The 18,654-nt window shown below is 33.6% G+C and overlaps 2 pseudogenes across 1 annotated transcript; both read right to left on the reverse strand.

The window, feature by feature from the left end:
* On the reverse strand, positions 7,873–8,582 carry NAA50P1 (NAA50 pseudogene 1; annotated as a pseudogene).
* Positions 8,583–11,745: 3,163 nt separating this feature from the next.
* OR8J2 (olfactory receptor family 8 subfamily J member 2 (gene/pseudogene)) lies at positions 11,746–17,983 on the reverse strand (annotated as a pseudogene). The gene is made up of 2 exons (NR_173147.2): positions 17,962–17,983; positions 11,746–14,606 (listed from the first exon to the last, which is right to left on the reverse strand). The product of NR_173147.2 is annotated as an olfactory receptor family 8 subfamily J member 2 (gene/pseudogene) (transcript).
* Positions 17,984–18,654: the final 671 nt, after the last annotated feature.

Raw genomic sequence — 18,654 nt, forward strand, 5'->3', positions numbered from 1 at the left:
TGAGAAAACATATGAGCTATTTCTTTAACTTATCTTTAGAGTTCCCTGTAAAGCACTAAACTCGTTTTACTTGATTTTATTTACATTTTCATGAGTTTATGTGACTATTGAAAATGACCTAGTTCTGGACATTTAAACATTTTTTTTCAAGAAAATTTCATTTTGTTAGACTCTCTAAACATATAAAAAATCACACTTGGACATATCTTAGCCTTGGACCTTCACTATGAAACTAGACCAGGTATAGAGATTAGAGAAGCTAGCTCATTCCCTGGCCCTGCCACTGTCCCCACTCCACAAATAACGACCTTCAACACTAAAATAGTTAACAATAAATGTATTACGCAATGACAGACCAAGAAAATATGCATTTGTATACATTTGTTTAAACATCAAAGTGAATTTTGAGTGGGAAAAAATAGTTTTAGAAATAGCCAATAAATAAATAAGGAATGGAAAAGACACCTTAATTTTAAGGAAAATATATATTGCTGCTTTGTAATTTTTAAAGGACTATTCTTTGCTTGTACCTGTATTTGTGCAGGTTTTAATTTTAGTTCTTATCTCCACTAGATGTGCATTTGATCATGCAAGGGACAATTTTATGGCATTTCAAAGACTCTTCTAACCCTTATAGGTACAGGGGATGATCTGTTCTCTTGCAAATCGGATATTATAATGTGATGGAGGCACTACGTAGTAAAATAGATGCTTTAGTATTTTGCTTCGGTCTTATCTCCAACTAAAAGTAATGTTTTGCAAATGACATTGACTCCTTCAATAATACTGGTAAATTTGGGAAACACATGAACAATGCATGATGCCTCTGAAAGAGAAAATGCAAAAATCATAAAAATACTGACATAATTTCTTTAATTAAGAGGTAACTGGAAATCATCATGCAAATCTGTTACTTGAGGTTAAAGTTCTGAAACAAATCCAATTAACTACAAATCACAAGATCATATTTGACATCTTGGTTGGAAATCATCATAAAAATCTTAGGAACCAAAGTGGGAGCTTGCTAACAACACTAACTTCTTTTTCAGAACTTGAGTTCTTGCTTTTTGTTTTTACTATTCAAAGAAATATCAGCTAACTACAGAGAAGTCATTATCTAGCTTTCACCAAAGATTATACTGAAGATGGCTGCAACATTGCACTAGCTCAGAAACTTCACTTAGAAGCAGATTGTTAAGGCTGTGGCTAAATCACCTAGATCAGTTGTTAGAAATTAAAGATAAAGGAATACAGGACCATGAAGAGTAACTGGAACTCTGAGGTGTAGTCACAGAAACAGGTGTAGTCTACTAAACTCTAATAAGGAATCTTTCTGTGCTTTCCATGTGTCCCTAAAGTAACCCAGTAAGAAAAATTTATGGGTTTCTTTCCTCCTTTGAGACTCTCCCTGAGGAGATGGAACACAATTTGTTAATTATGGCTAAAGCATTTGGAAGCTTCAAACAAAGCCAATGGGATATCTGCTAATAATAGAATATGCTTATATTTCCAAACAAGTAGAGTTATGTTAGTTACCTTTCCACCACTATTCTTGGTTATATTTTCTCTACTGCAACACAGAGATCTGGAATCAAAACTTCTATCTGTAGGACATAACTTTTTTTCTTGTAACTCTTAATATCTCTTTCCCAATATAGTGGATTTTTATGGCTTTGTAGCTAAGGATACAATAAAGTGCTTAAACACTGCCGATTGCATTATTTCAAAAATTTACATGAGAAAGTAATAAGTGTGTAGCTGTTTTTTCTGTACTTTGTGGTGTTTTAGATTTATTATTGAAGTAGAAAATACATATAAGCACATAAGCAAATGTACAAATCATAAATAAATTTTTACAAACTTAATTTCTAACTCAAGTTTTACAAACTTAACCTAAGTAACCAGAATCCAGATTAAACAGAAACAACAATAACAACAAAATAAAACATTGTCAGGACCCCATAAGAATCCTTCATTCTCTTTTCCTCCATGAACTTCCCCCAACACACTCAAAGAATGAACAGCTAGTATTCTGACTTCTAACAACATAACGTACAGCTATTTTTGTTACATTATATGAATAAAATCCTATGCATGTTATGTTTCCATTCCTGGGTTCTTTCATTCAATATATTGTGACGAGTAGTTCTACATTGCTCATTCTCATTTCTGTGCACAATTGAACATTTTATATATATATATATATATACACCACAAATTAGTTATTCATTATTCTAGAGGTTTTATGAATAGTGATGATATGAACATTCTATTGCATGTTTCAATTAACATAAACATGTATTTCCATTTGGGTATATTTCTTAGACTGGAATTGCTATGTCATAATATACACATGTTCAGCATTAGTAAATACTTCCAAATGAGTTTACAGAGTAGTTATAGCAACGTGCACTCCAATGAGAAAGACATAATAGTCATGATTGTTCACTATCCTTGTCGAGACTTAGCCATTCTCTATGGTGTGGGTATCATTGTCGTTTCGAGTTTCATTATCCTAATCATGAATTCATTGAGAAGCTTTTCATATGTGCAATGGTCATTTACATATTTTCTTTTGAAAAGTGTTCATGTCTTTTCTCCACTTTTACATTGATTTTCATATCAATTATGTATTGATTTGTAAGAATTATTTTCACATTTTGCATGAGTCCTCTGTCAGATACACATGTATATTATTTGATAAAGCATGTGTAATAAAATGTTCTCTCCTATTATAAGGATTGCCCTTTTGACACTGTTAATTTTGATGAAAAGGACTTCTTAAAATTGATTAATCTTTAATTTTATATGATTATTGCTTTGTTTATTCTGTTTAAAATTTTGTACATACTCCAATATCACAAAGATGTCCCTCATGCTTTCTTCTAAAAGCTTTATTATTTGTATTTTATATTTAGATCTTTAAACCATTTGAAATTCATTTTAAATAAGGAATGAGGTAGATGCTCAGATTTTTTAATTCAAAATAGATATATAAATTGTCTAATGCCATTTATCAAAAAGATCATTCTTTCTTTTTTAGAAAACACTGATGCCTCTATCATGTCAGTTGATACTATATGTGTGAATAAGTTGATAGCATAGGTTTCCATAAGGCAGCCTGAAAACAAGGATGCCTCTTGGGATATTAAATACTTTTTGTCTTTTCTGTTATGTTTTTTTGTATAAATACAAGTGTCTTTCTGGGTTGAGTACTCTGGTTTCTACGGTATTTACATTCTGTCTCTGAGGCATGTCTTTACAGGTGAATTTATTTTGGGTTCTCTCTACACGTCTAATTTAACATTTTGTTTGATCTGCACATATGGGCTAAAAATTTTGACAACACCCTTATCTTGGTTTCTTTTGAATTTATTATTTTATATATGTAAATGATTTGACTTATTTGTTTTGCTTGTTCCTGAAAGTTTTCTGAGAGTAAAAATATACAGCCTAAATGCTGGACACGAGATGGCTCATTAAAAGTCACTAAGGCAACACCACCAACTAAAACACTGATCTAAACTCCTGACATTTTCTTTATTAAATTATTATTATTATTATAATTTAAGTTCTAGGGTACACTTGCACAACATGCAGGTTTGTTACATATGTATACATGTGCCATGTTCATGTGCTGCGCCCATTAACTCGTCATTTACATTAGGTATATCTCCTAATGCTATCCCTGCCCTCTCCCCCAACCCCACAAATGGCCCCACTGTGTGATGTTCCCCTTCCTGTGTCCAGGTGTTCTCATTGTTCAGTTCCCACCTATGAGTGAGAACATGCAGTGTTTGGTTTTCTCTCCTTGCGACGGTTTGCTCAGAATGATGGTTTCCAGCTTCATCCATGTCCCTATAAAGGACATGAACTCATCCTTTTTTATGGCTGCATAGAATTCCAAGGTGTATACGTGCCAAATTTTCTTCCTCCAGTCTATCACTGATGGACATTTGGGCTGGTTCCAAGTCTTTGCTATTGTTAATAGTGCCGCAATAAACATACGTCTGCATGTGTCTGTATAGCAGCATGATTTATAATCCTTTCGGTATATACAGGATGGCTAGGTCAAATGGTATTTCTAGTTCTAGATCCTTGAGGGATCGCCACACTGTCTTCCACAATGGTTGAACTAGTTTACAGTCCCACCAACAGCATAAAAGTGTTCCTATTTGTCCACATCCTCTCCAGCACCTGTTGTTTCCTGACTTTTTAATGATCGCCATTCTAACTGGCATGAGATGGTATCTCATTGTGGTTTTGATTTGCATTTCTCTGATGATCAGTGATGATGAGCATTTTTTCATGCATCTGTTGGCTGCATAAACGTCTTCTTTTGAGAAGTGTCTGTTCATATCCTTCGCCCACTTTTTGATGGGGTTGTTTGATTTTTTTCTTCTAAATTTGTTTAAGTTCTTTGTAGATTCTGGATATTAGCCCTTTGTCAGATGAGTAGATTGTAAAAATTTTCTCCCATTCTGTAGGTTGCCAGTTCACTCTGATGGTAGTTTCTTTTGCTGTGCGGAAGCTCTTTAGTTTAATTAGATCCCATTTGTCTATTTTGGCTTTCGTTGTCATTGCTTTTGGTATTTTAGTCATGAAGTCCTTGCCCATGCCTATGTCCTGAAAACTCCTGACATTTTCTAACAGGATTTATAAGCTTCTCTTTTCTCTCAAGAGATTAATAAAAAAAAAAGTTATTTTCAAATATTGAGGCATGCCAGGTTTTCTAGGATTACAGCCAGCAATATAATATGGTCCATTCTTATATACATTGTTTAATTGATGGGAAAATTACATTGAGAAAAATTAAAAGTTCAAATGGTCATTAGTCAAACCCTTTTAAAAAAATAAAGCCCTGAAACTATAGAATTAACATGTAAATTTGTCAAGGTTTCCTATTTCTCTATTTTTCTTTTCTGCCTATTTTAAATCTGCTGACTTTTGTATTAGTGTTAAGCCAAAACTCAATTATTATGGCATTCCAGCCAAGACTATTTTTAAAAAAATAGATTTTAAAGAATTTTCAAATTAATGGCTTTACAAGCTACAACAGCTTCATGGTAACTTGGAAATATAAATGTAACTGTGTTTGACTAACAATTAGGGTAGTAGAATAGTTAGTTAAAGGATTAATAGTGTAAAAGAAAAAACTAAATAAAAGTTTATAAAAGTTTGGCTAACAGATCAAACAGGTCAAACTGTTAAGATCAGGGAAATAATATAAGATGTCTTTGTTAAATAAGATAAAAGTTCACATTGTCTGCAATCAGGGGCCAAAAGGAAAAAGAAAAAAAAAAAAGGAAAAAAATCCAGACTTACTAAAATGGTTTCCCGCTAATATTTGTCTGGTCAAGAAACACAAGACAGATTCAAGGCTACTCTTAAATTTGTTTTTCTTATACAACTCAGCCAGTCCTAGCAAAAATGTAAGTTTTAAATATTTAATCCTAAATTTACTTAAAATTAAAAAGAAAGAGAAAAAAGGAAAAAATAGTGTAAAAAAATTCCAATTGCTATGGAAAGTGCTGCTTTATACAAAATTTTGGTCGACAGCCTTCATTAGATTGCCTATCAGGCAAATAAAATTTAGTTATGTGAGGAGGTGCCAATTTTATAAAAAATATAATTTGAATCCAACTGTTTTTTTATAAACCAGTGAGTTTCTATAGTTTACTGTCTCATGACCAAATACTAAAATAAAGACTATAAAATCACTGTGTGTATATATGTGTTTAGGTACACTTATTGATATGTAAATATATTGTTGTATGTTGTACCTATATGGTAAAACCTAGTGCAGTTGGCCAGACATTCATTATGAAATTTTATTTAAATTGGCTTAAATAAATGAGCACTCATATAAAATTATATGATATAGTAATTAACCAAATGCCTTTTAGTTCATGTGACATAGGTATATCTTTAATAAATTAGCTGATTTTAAAATTATTGGTAAAGTAAGAAAAAAAATCTTCAGGATTGGAAACATACATTTCTGCCTGAATTTACTGGTCAGACACTTTTATACTTGTCTGGGCTAGATGGTTTAAAGTGTCAAGATTTGACACACAGGTTGTAAAACTATAAACCTAGCCTAAACCAGAATAATCTTTCTGTAACTCTTTGATACATAAGGGTAATTTTATATTGTCAGTTTAATGAAAACCACTGTATTTTTTGAATTATTGATAAAATACTCATATAATTAAAGTTCTTAAGTGAACACCTGAGAGTCACAGGCTATAATAATAATTGATAGGAAAATAATTTAAAAATATTCTAGTTTTGTTTAATATGTCAATTCTCATAGATAACACAGGTAAACTGTTAAAGTTAAATAAAATTTAAGTAAATGAGATAAATGCTTATAAATAAACTTTTCATGTAATTTAAAATTGTAAAGTTATGTTATGTTAAATTAAGTAATAAATATTCACTAAATAACTGGGTCATTTGCAAATTTTAGAAAATCAAACTGATTGTTAAACAAAATACTTTTATTCATGGTTTCTTAAATTATATAGAAATAGTAAATATACTAGAGTCTATCAGTACATACAAAAATTATGCTATAGGAAAACATGTTTCAAAATATATAAAATGGCTTCCATTCCATAAAATACTGATAAATGACAGATGGTTTAACACTGCTTGGTAGAAATTAGGTTGCTAAGAGTTAAAATTCCAATTAATATGTATATAATTCTGGGACAGAAACAGTGACTCACGCCTGTAATCCCAACACTTTGGGAGGCCACCTCCTGAGGTCAGGAATTAAAGGCCAGCCTAGCCAACATGGAAAAACCCCGTCTTTACTAAAAATACAAAAATTAGCTGGGCGTGGTGGCACATGCCTGTGATCCCAGCTACTCAGGAGGCTGAGACAGGAGAATCACTTGAACCTGGTAGGCAGAGGCTGCTACGAGCCGAGATCGCATCTCCGCGCTCCAGTCTGGGCAACAGAGCGAGACTCTGTCTCAAAAAATAAAAATAAAAATAAATAAAACAACAACAGTCAAAATCAATATAATTCTGTATAGAAAATGTATTAAAAACAAGATTTTTTGACAAAAAACTATTTACAAACCTAAAATATGTTCTTTTAAAAATAATATTGCATAATTCAGAGGTTTTTTAAAGATTATTTCAACAAATAGATTTAGGAAGAAAATTAAAACAAGACAAAAACTAGTAAATAGTTGAGAGAGATGTGACAAAAGTTATGGGTAAGAAAATGTATTTTTGGCAAAGAAGGTTAAAAAATTTTGTAGAAAAAAAATCTCGTGTGATAATTTTTGTACTAAAGTAAAATGCTTATTTTAAAAGGAGCAAGCACAGGACAAAATTAAAATTCCAAACATGTCAACAATGGTCTGAATAAATCATGAAAATAATTTTAAAGAGGAATTTATAAAATAAATTTTGTTTGTAATCAAGTTCTCTATAACTAAATGTATAAATATATTTATAAGTTATTCAGTATTAAATAAACTAATATAAAACTAAATCTTTGTCCCTTATGGTAAAACAATATGGTTTTATTGAAATGTTGGTTTGCTTTTAATAAAATTGCAAAAAGTTTTGATTTTTAATTTTGAAATCTGTTTCTGTAACAGTCATTTTCTAAACTGCAAACACTATCTATTTCTGCCAAATTTCTTTCTGAGATCCAATTAATTTTCCTAATTTCTGGTTGGAAATGCTGTATTTTTTTATTTAAAATGAGAATGTTACTTCTATAGGTAGATTTCTCCTCTTAAAGTATTTTAGATTCATATTTTGAAGTTCAATTTTTGCTATATCTCACTGCACGTGATTTTCAGGTTATTATTGCCTTCAGTTTTCCTTCTTTCTCCTTTTGAGAAGGTAATTTGTTCAGTTGTCTGTCTTTTCCACATCTGCATTCTGACCAGAAGGTAATTTGAGGTTTTTCTGCAGGACATGATCATCTGCAGGCTTTGCGGTTTTATAGTAGTTCTTCTTGGGCTCCATAATCTCAAAGCCAAACTTCCTGTAGAAGTCAATTGCCGACTCACCGCTGATCTGGACATGCAGATAGATGTCAAAAGTGCCATCTTTTTCACATGTTTAAGACATGAATTAACATTGTAGTTCCTATTCCTAGCCTTTGGTAAGGTGCCAGATATCCAAGTGTCATGATGTAAAGTCTTTTCTGATTCTGTGAATGAGCCACCCTAGAGTACACTGCACCTACAGGAACATCACTGAAATAGGCAAGTTTTGATCGTTCACCACCTCCATCACATCCTTGTAGAACTTACCATTGTAGCTGACTGAAAAGATAACCCGATTCCTTCTCTTCAACTGTTTAATATTGTGTGGTGTCCCATCTCCCAGCTCCATCCAGCTACCTTTCATCCTCCCCACCTGCTGAGGCTTTTGTTATCACCAATAGCAACTCAGTCATAGTTGCTGCCCTCAGCTCAAGACACTCAACCACACAAGATGGCCTCCTCACCCGGGCAGGGAGCTGAGCAGGTGACAGAGGCAGTGCGTCCCTAAGTCTCCTGAGGGGGGTGAGAGTGTCTCGCACCACTGCGCTGGTGCCACTGCTTCTCCACACATGCAAATGGGGCTCTTGGCTCTAAAATGAAGATTTTCTGATCTATAATTAACTTTGAAATTTTCCACTTGGGCCCATATGTCAAGAACATATGTCTTGCTAAATGATTAGTTTTATTTAGTAAAGTATAAGGGGGAAACATTGTCAAATACTAAGTGATGTTAAATCTTCTTTCAGTTACATTCAGGGGCATGTTATCTATACTTGTTTTAAAATCTACATAAACTTATGAAAATCTAATATGTTAGCAGTCATAATTTTGGTTGATAAGCTTAATCTTCTTTAAAGTTATATTTATATGGATGTATTATTGATGTGAGCATTTTATGATTTTCAGTTGTGTCACTTTTTTTTTTTTTTTTTTTTTTGAGACGGAGTCTCACTCTGTCTCCCAGGCTGGAGTGCAGTGGCACCATCTGGGCTCACTGCAAGCTCCACCTCCCGGGTTCACGCAGTTCTCCTGCCTCAGCCTCCCGATTACCCGGGACTACAGGCACCCGCCACCACGCCTGGCTAATTTTTTGTATTTTTGGTAGAGACGGGGTTTTACTGTGTTAGCCAGGATGGTCTTGATCTCCTGACCTCGTGATCCACCTGCCTTGGCCTTCCAAAGTGCTGGGATTACAGGCGTGAGCCACCGCGCCCGGCCAGTTGTGTCACATTTATAAAAGTCTGATAGCCCTGATGTGATTCAGCCAGTCATAATTCTGATTGATATTTTAAAATGTAATAGGTAATAATAAATAAATTTCCTTGTCAATTGAAAACTTTCATCAGATTTTTATCCATGACTATTCTAACTTTTTGTCATTCACAATTATTGCTTTAAATTCTTCTCTAAAAGTATTTACAATTAACTATAATCCAAAATTGCCTTTCATGGAAAAGACTTTAACAAGTATTCTTGAGTAGATTTATGACAACCTTAAAGGCAATGAAATAAATAAAAATGTCTAGAACTCTGATTTAAAAAACTTATAGGTTCATAAAACTTATGGGTTCATAAAACTGCTAATCAAGATCAAGCAATATAAAAATAACTGATGAAAATAGTTTTTATTATTTTATTTAAAACGTTGTTTAAAACATTGATTCTTTACTTAAATGGTTTGTTTTCAAGATTTAAGAAAAATTTCTCTCATAAGCTATAATTTACACAAATTTGGTAAAGGATAATTTTGTGAAAAAATTGAAAGCATTTGATTTCTCTCCCAATTTAATTCCTTGAAAATTCAAAAACTATTCATAAGTATTCTTACTTTTAATGACAATCTATATAATAACATAATTTCAATAAAAATCTGATTTATCTTTACAGGAGGACACAATTAGAAATATTGGTCATATTACCATGGATTTGACTGAAAATATGTCATATTTGAAAATTTGCATAAAATACCAGATTTCAACAGCTCCCTGCCTTACAGGGAATTAAGTAAAAATTATCACTTCTTGACAGGCCTAGGAACCTTAAGATTGTAAGTATGTAAACAAAATCCAAGGTCTGCCTTGGTTTGGCTTTCTAGCTTAAGAAGTTTTTAAATCTGAGATTTTTAGGTGATCAAGGCAGAGAAAAAGTCATGTTTCTAAAGCAAAGGTATAATATATCCATTATTCGGTTATAGCACTTTGCATTGTTTTTAAGTTCTTGTTATTTACCTGTAGACTACACTAAATTTTCAAGTCTTCTAGATTCTCCCAATACAACTTTCTTCTATAGAATTACTGAAAACAAAAACTTTTTTGTTCCAAAAGCCCTATAAGCTGAAACTAGATAAATTTTAAGGAACAAGCCTCCTGCCTCATATACGGGCCACAGAAAATGTTTACCAAACCACCTGATATTGTAATCAGTTATAGTCAAACTACAAACCATGACAAAAAGTTGATGTCTTAATGCCGTAGGCAGCTTTTCCCACAATGTCAGAATAAAACTCTATAATGGGGCTCACTATTCTCAGGCCTACCTTTTTCATTTGGCAGCATAAATGGCATTTGATTTATTCAATTGGTTGTCTTTAAGCCTAGGATCAAAACTATTATACAAATTGGGACTTTCATACTACTGTTAATTTTACTTTGTGTTTTCCACTTTTAAACTTTGTGTGCTACTCGTTGAATTTTTTCCAGAAATACAATTTCTAACAAAACAATGCTTACTCAGCACTTTCAGATGATGGCAAAAAGATTATGAAACAGACAGAACTGAACTTAATAATGAATTCCAGGTAGACTTAGCCTGTGAGTCTCTTCCTTCAAAACTCTCATGTTGCTCAAATATGGCTAATGGGGTTTTGTCATTAACTCACAGTCAGTAAGCACTCTCTCCAATGTGAGATGGGATCAGGAATGCAGAACAAGTCTATTTTTATTTTGGCACCAAGAAACATCAAAACTTAATGACAGTATGACTTACTAGTGGTGCTTTTGGAAGAATATTTTGATCAAAAGGGGGAAATGTGAAAGCTGTCAGAATCAAAATGGAGTTACTTCTGTTTAAAAAATTAAAAAACAACAAACACACATACACACAAACTGACGAAGCCTTAGAAGGCATGGAGAGAAGGTTCTCAGGCTTGTATGCCTGATAGCAAAAGTATCACAAATGACGGCAAAAATCACAACCTTGCACAAAGGCCATCACAACTTTAAAAATATATATACTTCTCCAAGGACATCTCTCCAGCAACTGCCTGTCCAACCTCAGACTAGTATCACTCTTATTACTGATTTTTGAAGCCAAAGGTAATATTCCTCATTTTTTTCTCTATAAAACCCTTTGTCTTCCTTTTTCTCTCTGAATATGCACATAATTTACTATGGCACTTGCCTTCTCATTGCAATGCTGTAATCCTGAATAAATATTATTCTCTTTTAGAGAGCCTCTCTCTGTTATTTAGGTTGACATGCCCCCTGGGGTGATTAACATATAGACCAGAGCTGACAATTTAATTGTTCTATCTTGCTTCTTTGAAAACTTATCTGCTTGGTTGATTGAGTTAATTCATCACATATGAATAAAAGTGTCACAAGTGGTATATGAGTGTGTATGTTTATATGTGTATATACTTTTGCAACATTAAAACCAACTGATTTTTATTTTTTATTCAAAGAAGGCCATGTGTATACTTTGTTTACATAAATTTTATAGTAAATAATGTAGAAAGGATATATAGCATGTCAACTTTTGTAAGACTATACCATTGAGCACTAATGAATAAGACAGGTACAGGAATCTATCTGAACATGTCACATTCCATGGAAAAGGGAATTTGCTGATGTGATTAAGAATCATGAGATGAGGAGGATTTTATGGATTATCTGTGTGAGTCCAAGACAATCACAGGGGAGAGAGGGAAGAAGAGGGTGAAAGGCAGAGGGGACACAGCAGTGGAAGCAGAGGTCAGAGTGATGAGATTGCTGACTGGAAGGAGAACATAAGCCAATTGCTGTAGGCAACCTCTAGAACCTGGAAAAAGCAAGAAAATAGATTGTCCCGGAGATTCCAGTAGGAATACAGACTGCCAACACCTTGGTTTTAACCTCATGAGATCCACTTTGACTTTCTGACCCCTAGAAATGTGGGATAATAAATTTGGGTTGTTCCAAGCTACTATGTTTGTAGTGATTTCTTACAGTAGCAATAGAAAACGAATACAAGAGACAACATCATTATTTTTACAAAATACACATGTGTAAGCCAAATTAAAAGGTAGAAAACACTGGAGTACTTCTTACTGACCTTAACTAATTTAGTAATATGCATAACATTGGTATAAATGCAAGTGTGAGTTTAGCCCTGTTACTCCAATGCTATTCATCTAGCCAGACCCAAAAGAATTGTTTCTAATGGGAAGTATAGTTCTCCAGTTACAATTATATCAGTTGATGAAGCCAAATACACATATCATAAAGTAGAAAAAGATACACAAATAAACAGATAAGTAACATAAAGGCAAATGCCATAGAACTATTATTAATGTTGCCCTTGAGACCAGAAATGTCCCTCATATAGTGTGATTTTTCCTGCCTTCAGTGATTCTGCTCCTTTAAGGCTAAAGTTAGAAGTTGAAATATTGATTTGAGTCACACAGTCCCCGGATTGAGTATGCTTCTAACCTTCCTGAAAATATTATAACTGTACTTTATTTCCAGACACTACCTTTATTTCACATATAAGTGCCACTCTCCCTCACTCCATCATGCATTAGTAGCCTTTTACATGCAAAGAGATGTAGTTCATAGTAACTACTAACTTAAAAAAAAACAGGAGGACATCTTTAAGAAAATATTATTTTTAAAAAATTTTGTCTGATAAAATTTCATTTCAAATTACACTGAATGAAAATGCTAAAAGTAGTTGTGTTTGGTATTATAGTTTCATAACAAAGGCAATTAACTTTACACAAATGTTTTATGATGAGATGGAAAAAAGTTGTGTGTCTTATTTGAGAGAACATCAACATTTAGCTTTGGGTGCACACACCAACTGAGAACAATGAAAAAAGAAAATCCCCTTTAAAAATTTGTTAGCCTGTTTTCCCTTAAGTCTTATTTCCATGTGTAGTTTTTCTGTGATAAAAAATTTATTTTTAAATACAAGATAAAAATGGTTCCACAAAAGTTGAACTTGATGGATAAAATGCTACAAAACTAAAAATATAATTTTTAGTAGCTGAACAAAAGATGTCTCTTGCAAGGAGGATGATCTGAGTTTTGACCACCTTCCAAGAAATGATGCCACATACCTCCACACGCACTATCAGGCATTCTTTTCCTTGTTTGGAAATTATTTTAAAAACCCTTTAGTGGCTTACATTTTATCTATAAGTTATCTATAAACTGTGATTATTTTCAAATTATTTTTATTAATTATAGATATTGTTTTCTTGTTTGCGTATGTGAGGTTGACATAAGAACAATTAAACATTTCCCACTGAAATGAATGGAATTTCTAAAAATTTCTTGACACTTTTTTTTAAAACACAGCAGTTTTCAGGAAAAAACGAAAAGCACTAAAGGAAGATAGTTTTAGCTTTACATTTACATTAGTTTGAGTGATCGGCATGGGTTATCTAGGAACCTCTTTAGTGCATCCTTCACGTTCTTGTTCCTGAGGCTGTAGATTAGAGGGTTCAGCACTGGTATCACCAGGGTGTAGAAGACCGAAGCCATTTTGTCAGTATCTAATGAATGATTACTCCTTGGTTGCAAATACATGAAAAGGAGAGTCCCATAGAACACAACCACAGCTATCATGTGAGAAGCACAGGTGGAAAAGGCTTTTTGTCGTCCTTCTGAGGAACGTATCCTCAAAATGGTAATAACAATGTTGAAGTAGGATATCAGAACAACGATCATGGAGAAAAGCAAGTTGGTCCCTGAAAAGATAAAGACTGCTGTTTCTGGAATGTAGGTATCAGAACAGGACAATGCTAGCAAAGGGACATCATCACAGTAAAAATGGTTGATAATGTTGGAAGAACAGTATGACACAGAGAACACACAGGAAGAGACAGTCAGTGCTGTGATAAGACTCTGAAGGTATGTGAGGGACACCAGCAGACGACACACCTTTGGAGACACCACTACGGCGTAGAGCAGAGGGCTCCAAATAGCCACATAGCGGTCATAGGCCATTGCAGCCAGCGTGAAAATCTCAGCCACAATGAAAACCAAGAATCCACCCAGTTGGGCTGCACATCCATAGTATGATATGGTTTTCTTGGTAACCAGGAAGTTAACCAGCATTTTAGGGGCAACGACAGTAGAATTGCAAAGATTAATAATAGCCAAGTGTCAGAGGAAAAAGTACATGGGGGTTTGAAGTTGAGGGTCAACACTGGTGAGGGTGATGATGCCCAGGTTCCCTGCCACGGTCAGCAAATAGAGCACCAGGAAGACCAGGAAGAGGGGAATCTGGAGCTCCGGATCATCTGAGACTCCCACAAGAATGAACTCCGTCACCCATGTGAGATTTCCTGAAGCCATTTGTATTGTTGGCTTCATCTTTTACCTGAAAAAGTTGAAAGAAATCAATTGATGATAACATTGATGTTTCTGTTAGATGCTAGGTTGTTAAATATTTCATTTGAAATCAGTTTATTTTGTTTTACAAACTCTTACAAGTTTCAGAACCTAATTGTTTTTCTCCCCATGTTTTCATAAACTTCAGAAATAAAAACTCCCCAGACAATTAAGAGTCTTAAAACTGGCCGGGCGTGGTGGCTCACGCCTGTAATCCCAGCACTTTGGGAGGCCGAGGCGGGCGGATCACGAGGTCAGGAGATCGAGACCATCCTGGCTAACACGGTGAAACCCCGTCTCTACTAAAAAACACGAAAAATCAGCCGGGTGTGGTGGTGTGCGCCTGTAGTCCTAGCTACTCGGGAGGCTGAGGCAGGAGGATGCTGCGAACCTGGGAGGCGGAGCTTGCAGTGGTGCCACTGCACTCCAGCCTGGGCGACAGAGCGAGACTCCGTCTCAAAAAAAAAAAAAAAAAAAAGAGTCTTAAAACTGTTTGGACAAGCAATTTATGTATTTACTATTGGATATAGTTTATATTGAGTGAATACATATTTATTTGTTTTGTAATATGTCTTAATATTATGCATTTATCAACTATATTAGCACATAATATTGGATGAATAGATATGCATTTTATATTAATGTATATTCACATGTATTATATACATAGATTAGCATATGATATTGATTAATATATATACACTTACATGAACATGTAATTTATTACTTACAATTTTTATTTGTGTGTTTCTGTCTGTGTTTCCAGTGATAAGAGAGAGCAGCCTTAAGAAGTTGATGACACGGGGTGACCACCAGTTATCTTTTTCCTAGCTTCCACTGGTGACTTATCCAGCCCCTAACTTGTCATTAATAATTCTTGGGAATTTCAACATTTCTATGGGAAACACTTTCAGTATTCTGGATTTTGCTTTATCAATTTCTACCGCATAATGTTGCTTCAGCTGTGCAGAAGTAGGCCTACACTTCAATATTTTTCCCTCTGAGTGTAATTCTGAAAGTCAGAATCCTTTTTACTCAATCACATTTCGTTACTTCTGCTAGATAAGCCAGTCCTGTCCTATCATTGTGACTTCTCTTACTCAGACTCTTCTCTACTATTTTGTTCCAGAAGCCCTACTCTCCCTTCCCTTTCTAGCTTATACTTTTTCATTTTAAATTGTTATTGTTTTATTTTTTAATGCTTATTACTTACAACTTTTATTTGTTAAAGTTAGATTACTTTGATTTATTATACTTGTATAGAAAGACGAGTGGGGAAGGCTGTTAATATTTATTTAAAAAGTAACATGTGTTGAAAGTTATCCTAAGAATTTTGAAATAGTTATCTCATTCTGCAGGAGCACCCTAAAATATAGGTAGATGGTAATTATTTTCATGTCTAATAAGAAAATTGAGTCTCATTGAAGTAAAATTACTCAAAAAGACTGTGTAAGACATTGTTCCAAACTGCATGGTTTTATGATTTTGTTTCTGTGATTGATTGTGTTAGTCTACCAATTAATACTCAAAATTACTTGAAAATACTATGTAGACATTGATCTAAACTTCATGGTTTTATTTTGTTTTTGTGATTTTGTTTATGTAATTGGTTTGTTTTAGTCTACCAATTAATACCTAGGTGATTTTTACCAAGCATTATATTCTTGTATTATCCACATTAAATGAGATAATGCACATAAATGATTTGTTTTTATAGAGCCTGGTACCAAGTGAATGCAAAATGGATGCTACCTTCAGTTTTTGTTATTAGCATGCTTTGAATGATTTTCAATGTGAGTTCTTAATTCCAGTAATTCATTCCACCTTACTGAGTGCTTTTACAGTTAATACAGAAATAGCAAATGAATTATACTACTGCATATTTTTTAAAAAACTGGGACACACAATATCTAGCTCCTTTTTTAACAAACAAAACATGCTGTCTTGCAATCAGATTACCTCTTAAATCTTCAATGTTTCTTTGTTATGATACATTATTAAATACATCAAATATGAGTCTGAGAAACTGATCTGATTGTGTGTAGCGCCTATCCTCTATCTTTTGTTTCTTGCCACTGCGCTAAAAAGAACTGCATGTCTTATAAGCAGGCAAGCTTATGATTTAAAACATTGTGCTAAAAATTACTTTGATCAAAATATTTCCTGTTTGGCTGCCACACACAAAGCAACTCAGTGCATTGTTCATTCTGACATTTATATTCCATAGACACCCTTAATTTAACAACAAAAAAGAACATCATGAGCAATAGCAATTATTTACTGGCTACTCTTGAATTTGTGCAATTAGCTCGGGGAAGGAAGATAATTTGCAAATATTTAATATCTTTACCCATTATTAATTTCTCCTCCTCTGAAGCATGGCTGAGGGCAGAGCTGGAGTTGATTATTATTTCAGCAAGTATATGCCATTGACATAAAGTTTCCTTAGAACAAACCCAGTTTTCTCCTGTTGAGTTTTCTTTTTTTTTTTAGAATATTTTTTGTTAGAATTTTCCTGTTAAGAGCTATTATAATTTTTCACAAAAGTTTTTTTAAAATTAGTTTTTGAAAAGAAATATTTTATAGGTCTACCAATACCATGAATCTCAATATAAAATAAATAAAAATATACCTGAGGTTAATAATTTTAATGTCAATTTCACTGTAAAAATTGTCACCCTTTGGATGAGGTGTTATGTTGCAAATTAACTCTTAAATAGCTTCTGAGAAGATTTCAAGACTATATTTCATTAATGTCTAACTGTGGAATTTGTGTTAATCTTGTTGAGACATGGGTCTGGTTTGAGACAAGCACTGAATCTCAACGTGAGTTTTTGGCATCCATCAGGGAGATTGACTATTAGTACCAGGGAATCTTTTCATCCTAGGATTTTTCACCCCAGGGAATGCAAGAATAAAAGCTCATTTTCATCATTGTCAAGTATTTTTGAAAGCCCTTTTTTGAAACATCAAATCATATGCATCAGAGACACATAAGATACTTCCCTTTTGGTGTAGCATTCTCTCTAAACATCTCGGTTCTAAGGCAGAAAAAAATCAGTGTTCATATTAAGGTGGAATATACTAACTGTAATGACTATTCATTATTTGGTATAAATGTTCAAGCTGTCTAGTCTATCAATAGAGATGCTGGATACTATTGTTTATGTTGTATCACTGTCACTTCCAATAAGCAATCAGTGGGCAGATACTTGAGTTATTTGGAAAAGAAGACAAATTAGATATCATTTCAATCCTGAGTCTGATTTAAATTGGTAAATCCTCAAAGATACTTGATTTTTACATGAAACTTAGAAAGAAGTAAAATATTTGGTGTAACCTACCTGTGTAGAGAGATCTGGCCAGGCCCAGACCCAAGGTTCCTGCCCGAAGCATGCTAGAGTTTTTCAAGGGTCTGAAGTCTCTGAAGACCTGCACACTGAATATGTTTGTTTCTAGCTCCCAGTCCCCAAGCTTGACAACAAGATTTTCCAAATAAAAATCAGATTCCCTGGGGAAAGAAAGACAAACAGCATTCATTAGCCAAGATTCCACTCAAAATTTTACCCAAAGAGTGAAATGTGGAGATTGCCTAGGGACTCACTTAGATAATACTATTAAATAAAAAAAGAATGCAATTACTCCTATATAAAATGAGAATTGATACTGCTGGCCCTGGGTTGAAAAAATCAATACATAGCAAGCACAGGATTCTGGCTCCAATGGTCAATTTCAATGTGAATATTGTGAACAGAACTAAATGTAACCCCCATATTCTGCATCAAGAGCAACTCCTGATACATAAGTCATAAAAACCAGGTGATATAAAACATAAATTCAACATGTGAGTGGTTATAAAAAGTGAATATCAACTTTTAATTAACTTCTTAATGTGACCAGAAGGGGTATTAATTAAAATTCTTGTTGTACTTATCATATATTTGGTCTTATTTCTAGGGATTAATTAAAATTATTTGGTTGGAAAATATGTTTTTTTATATGATGAGCCTGTGATATTCCCTCAAAGCATATAGAAG

Source organism: Homo sapiens, chromosome 11, assembly GCF_000001405.40.
Source record: "Homo sapiens chromosome 11, GRCh38.p14 Primary Assembly".
Taxonomy (NCBI): Eukaryota; Metazoa; Chordata; class Mammalia; order Primates; family Hominidae; genus Homo; species Homo sapiens.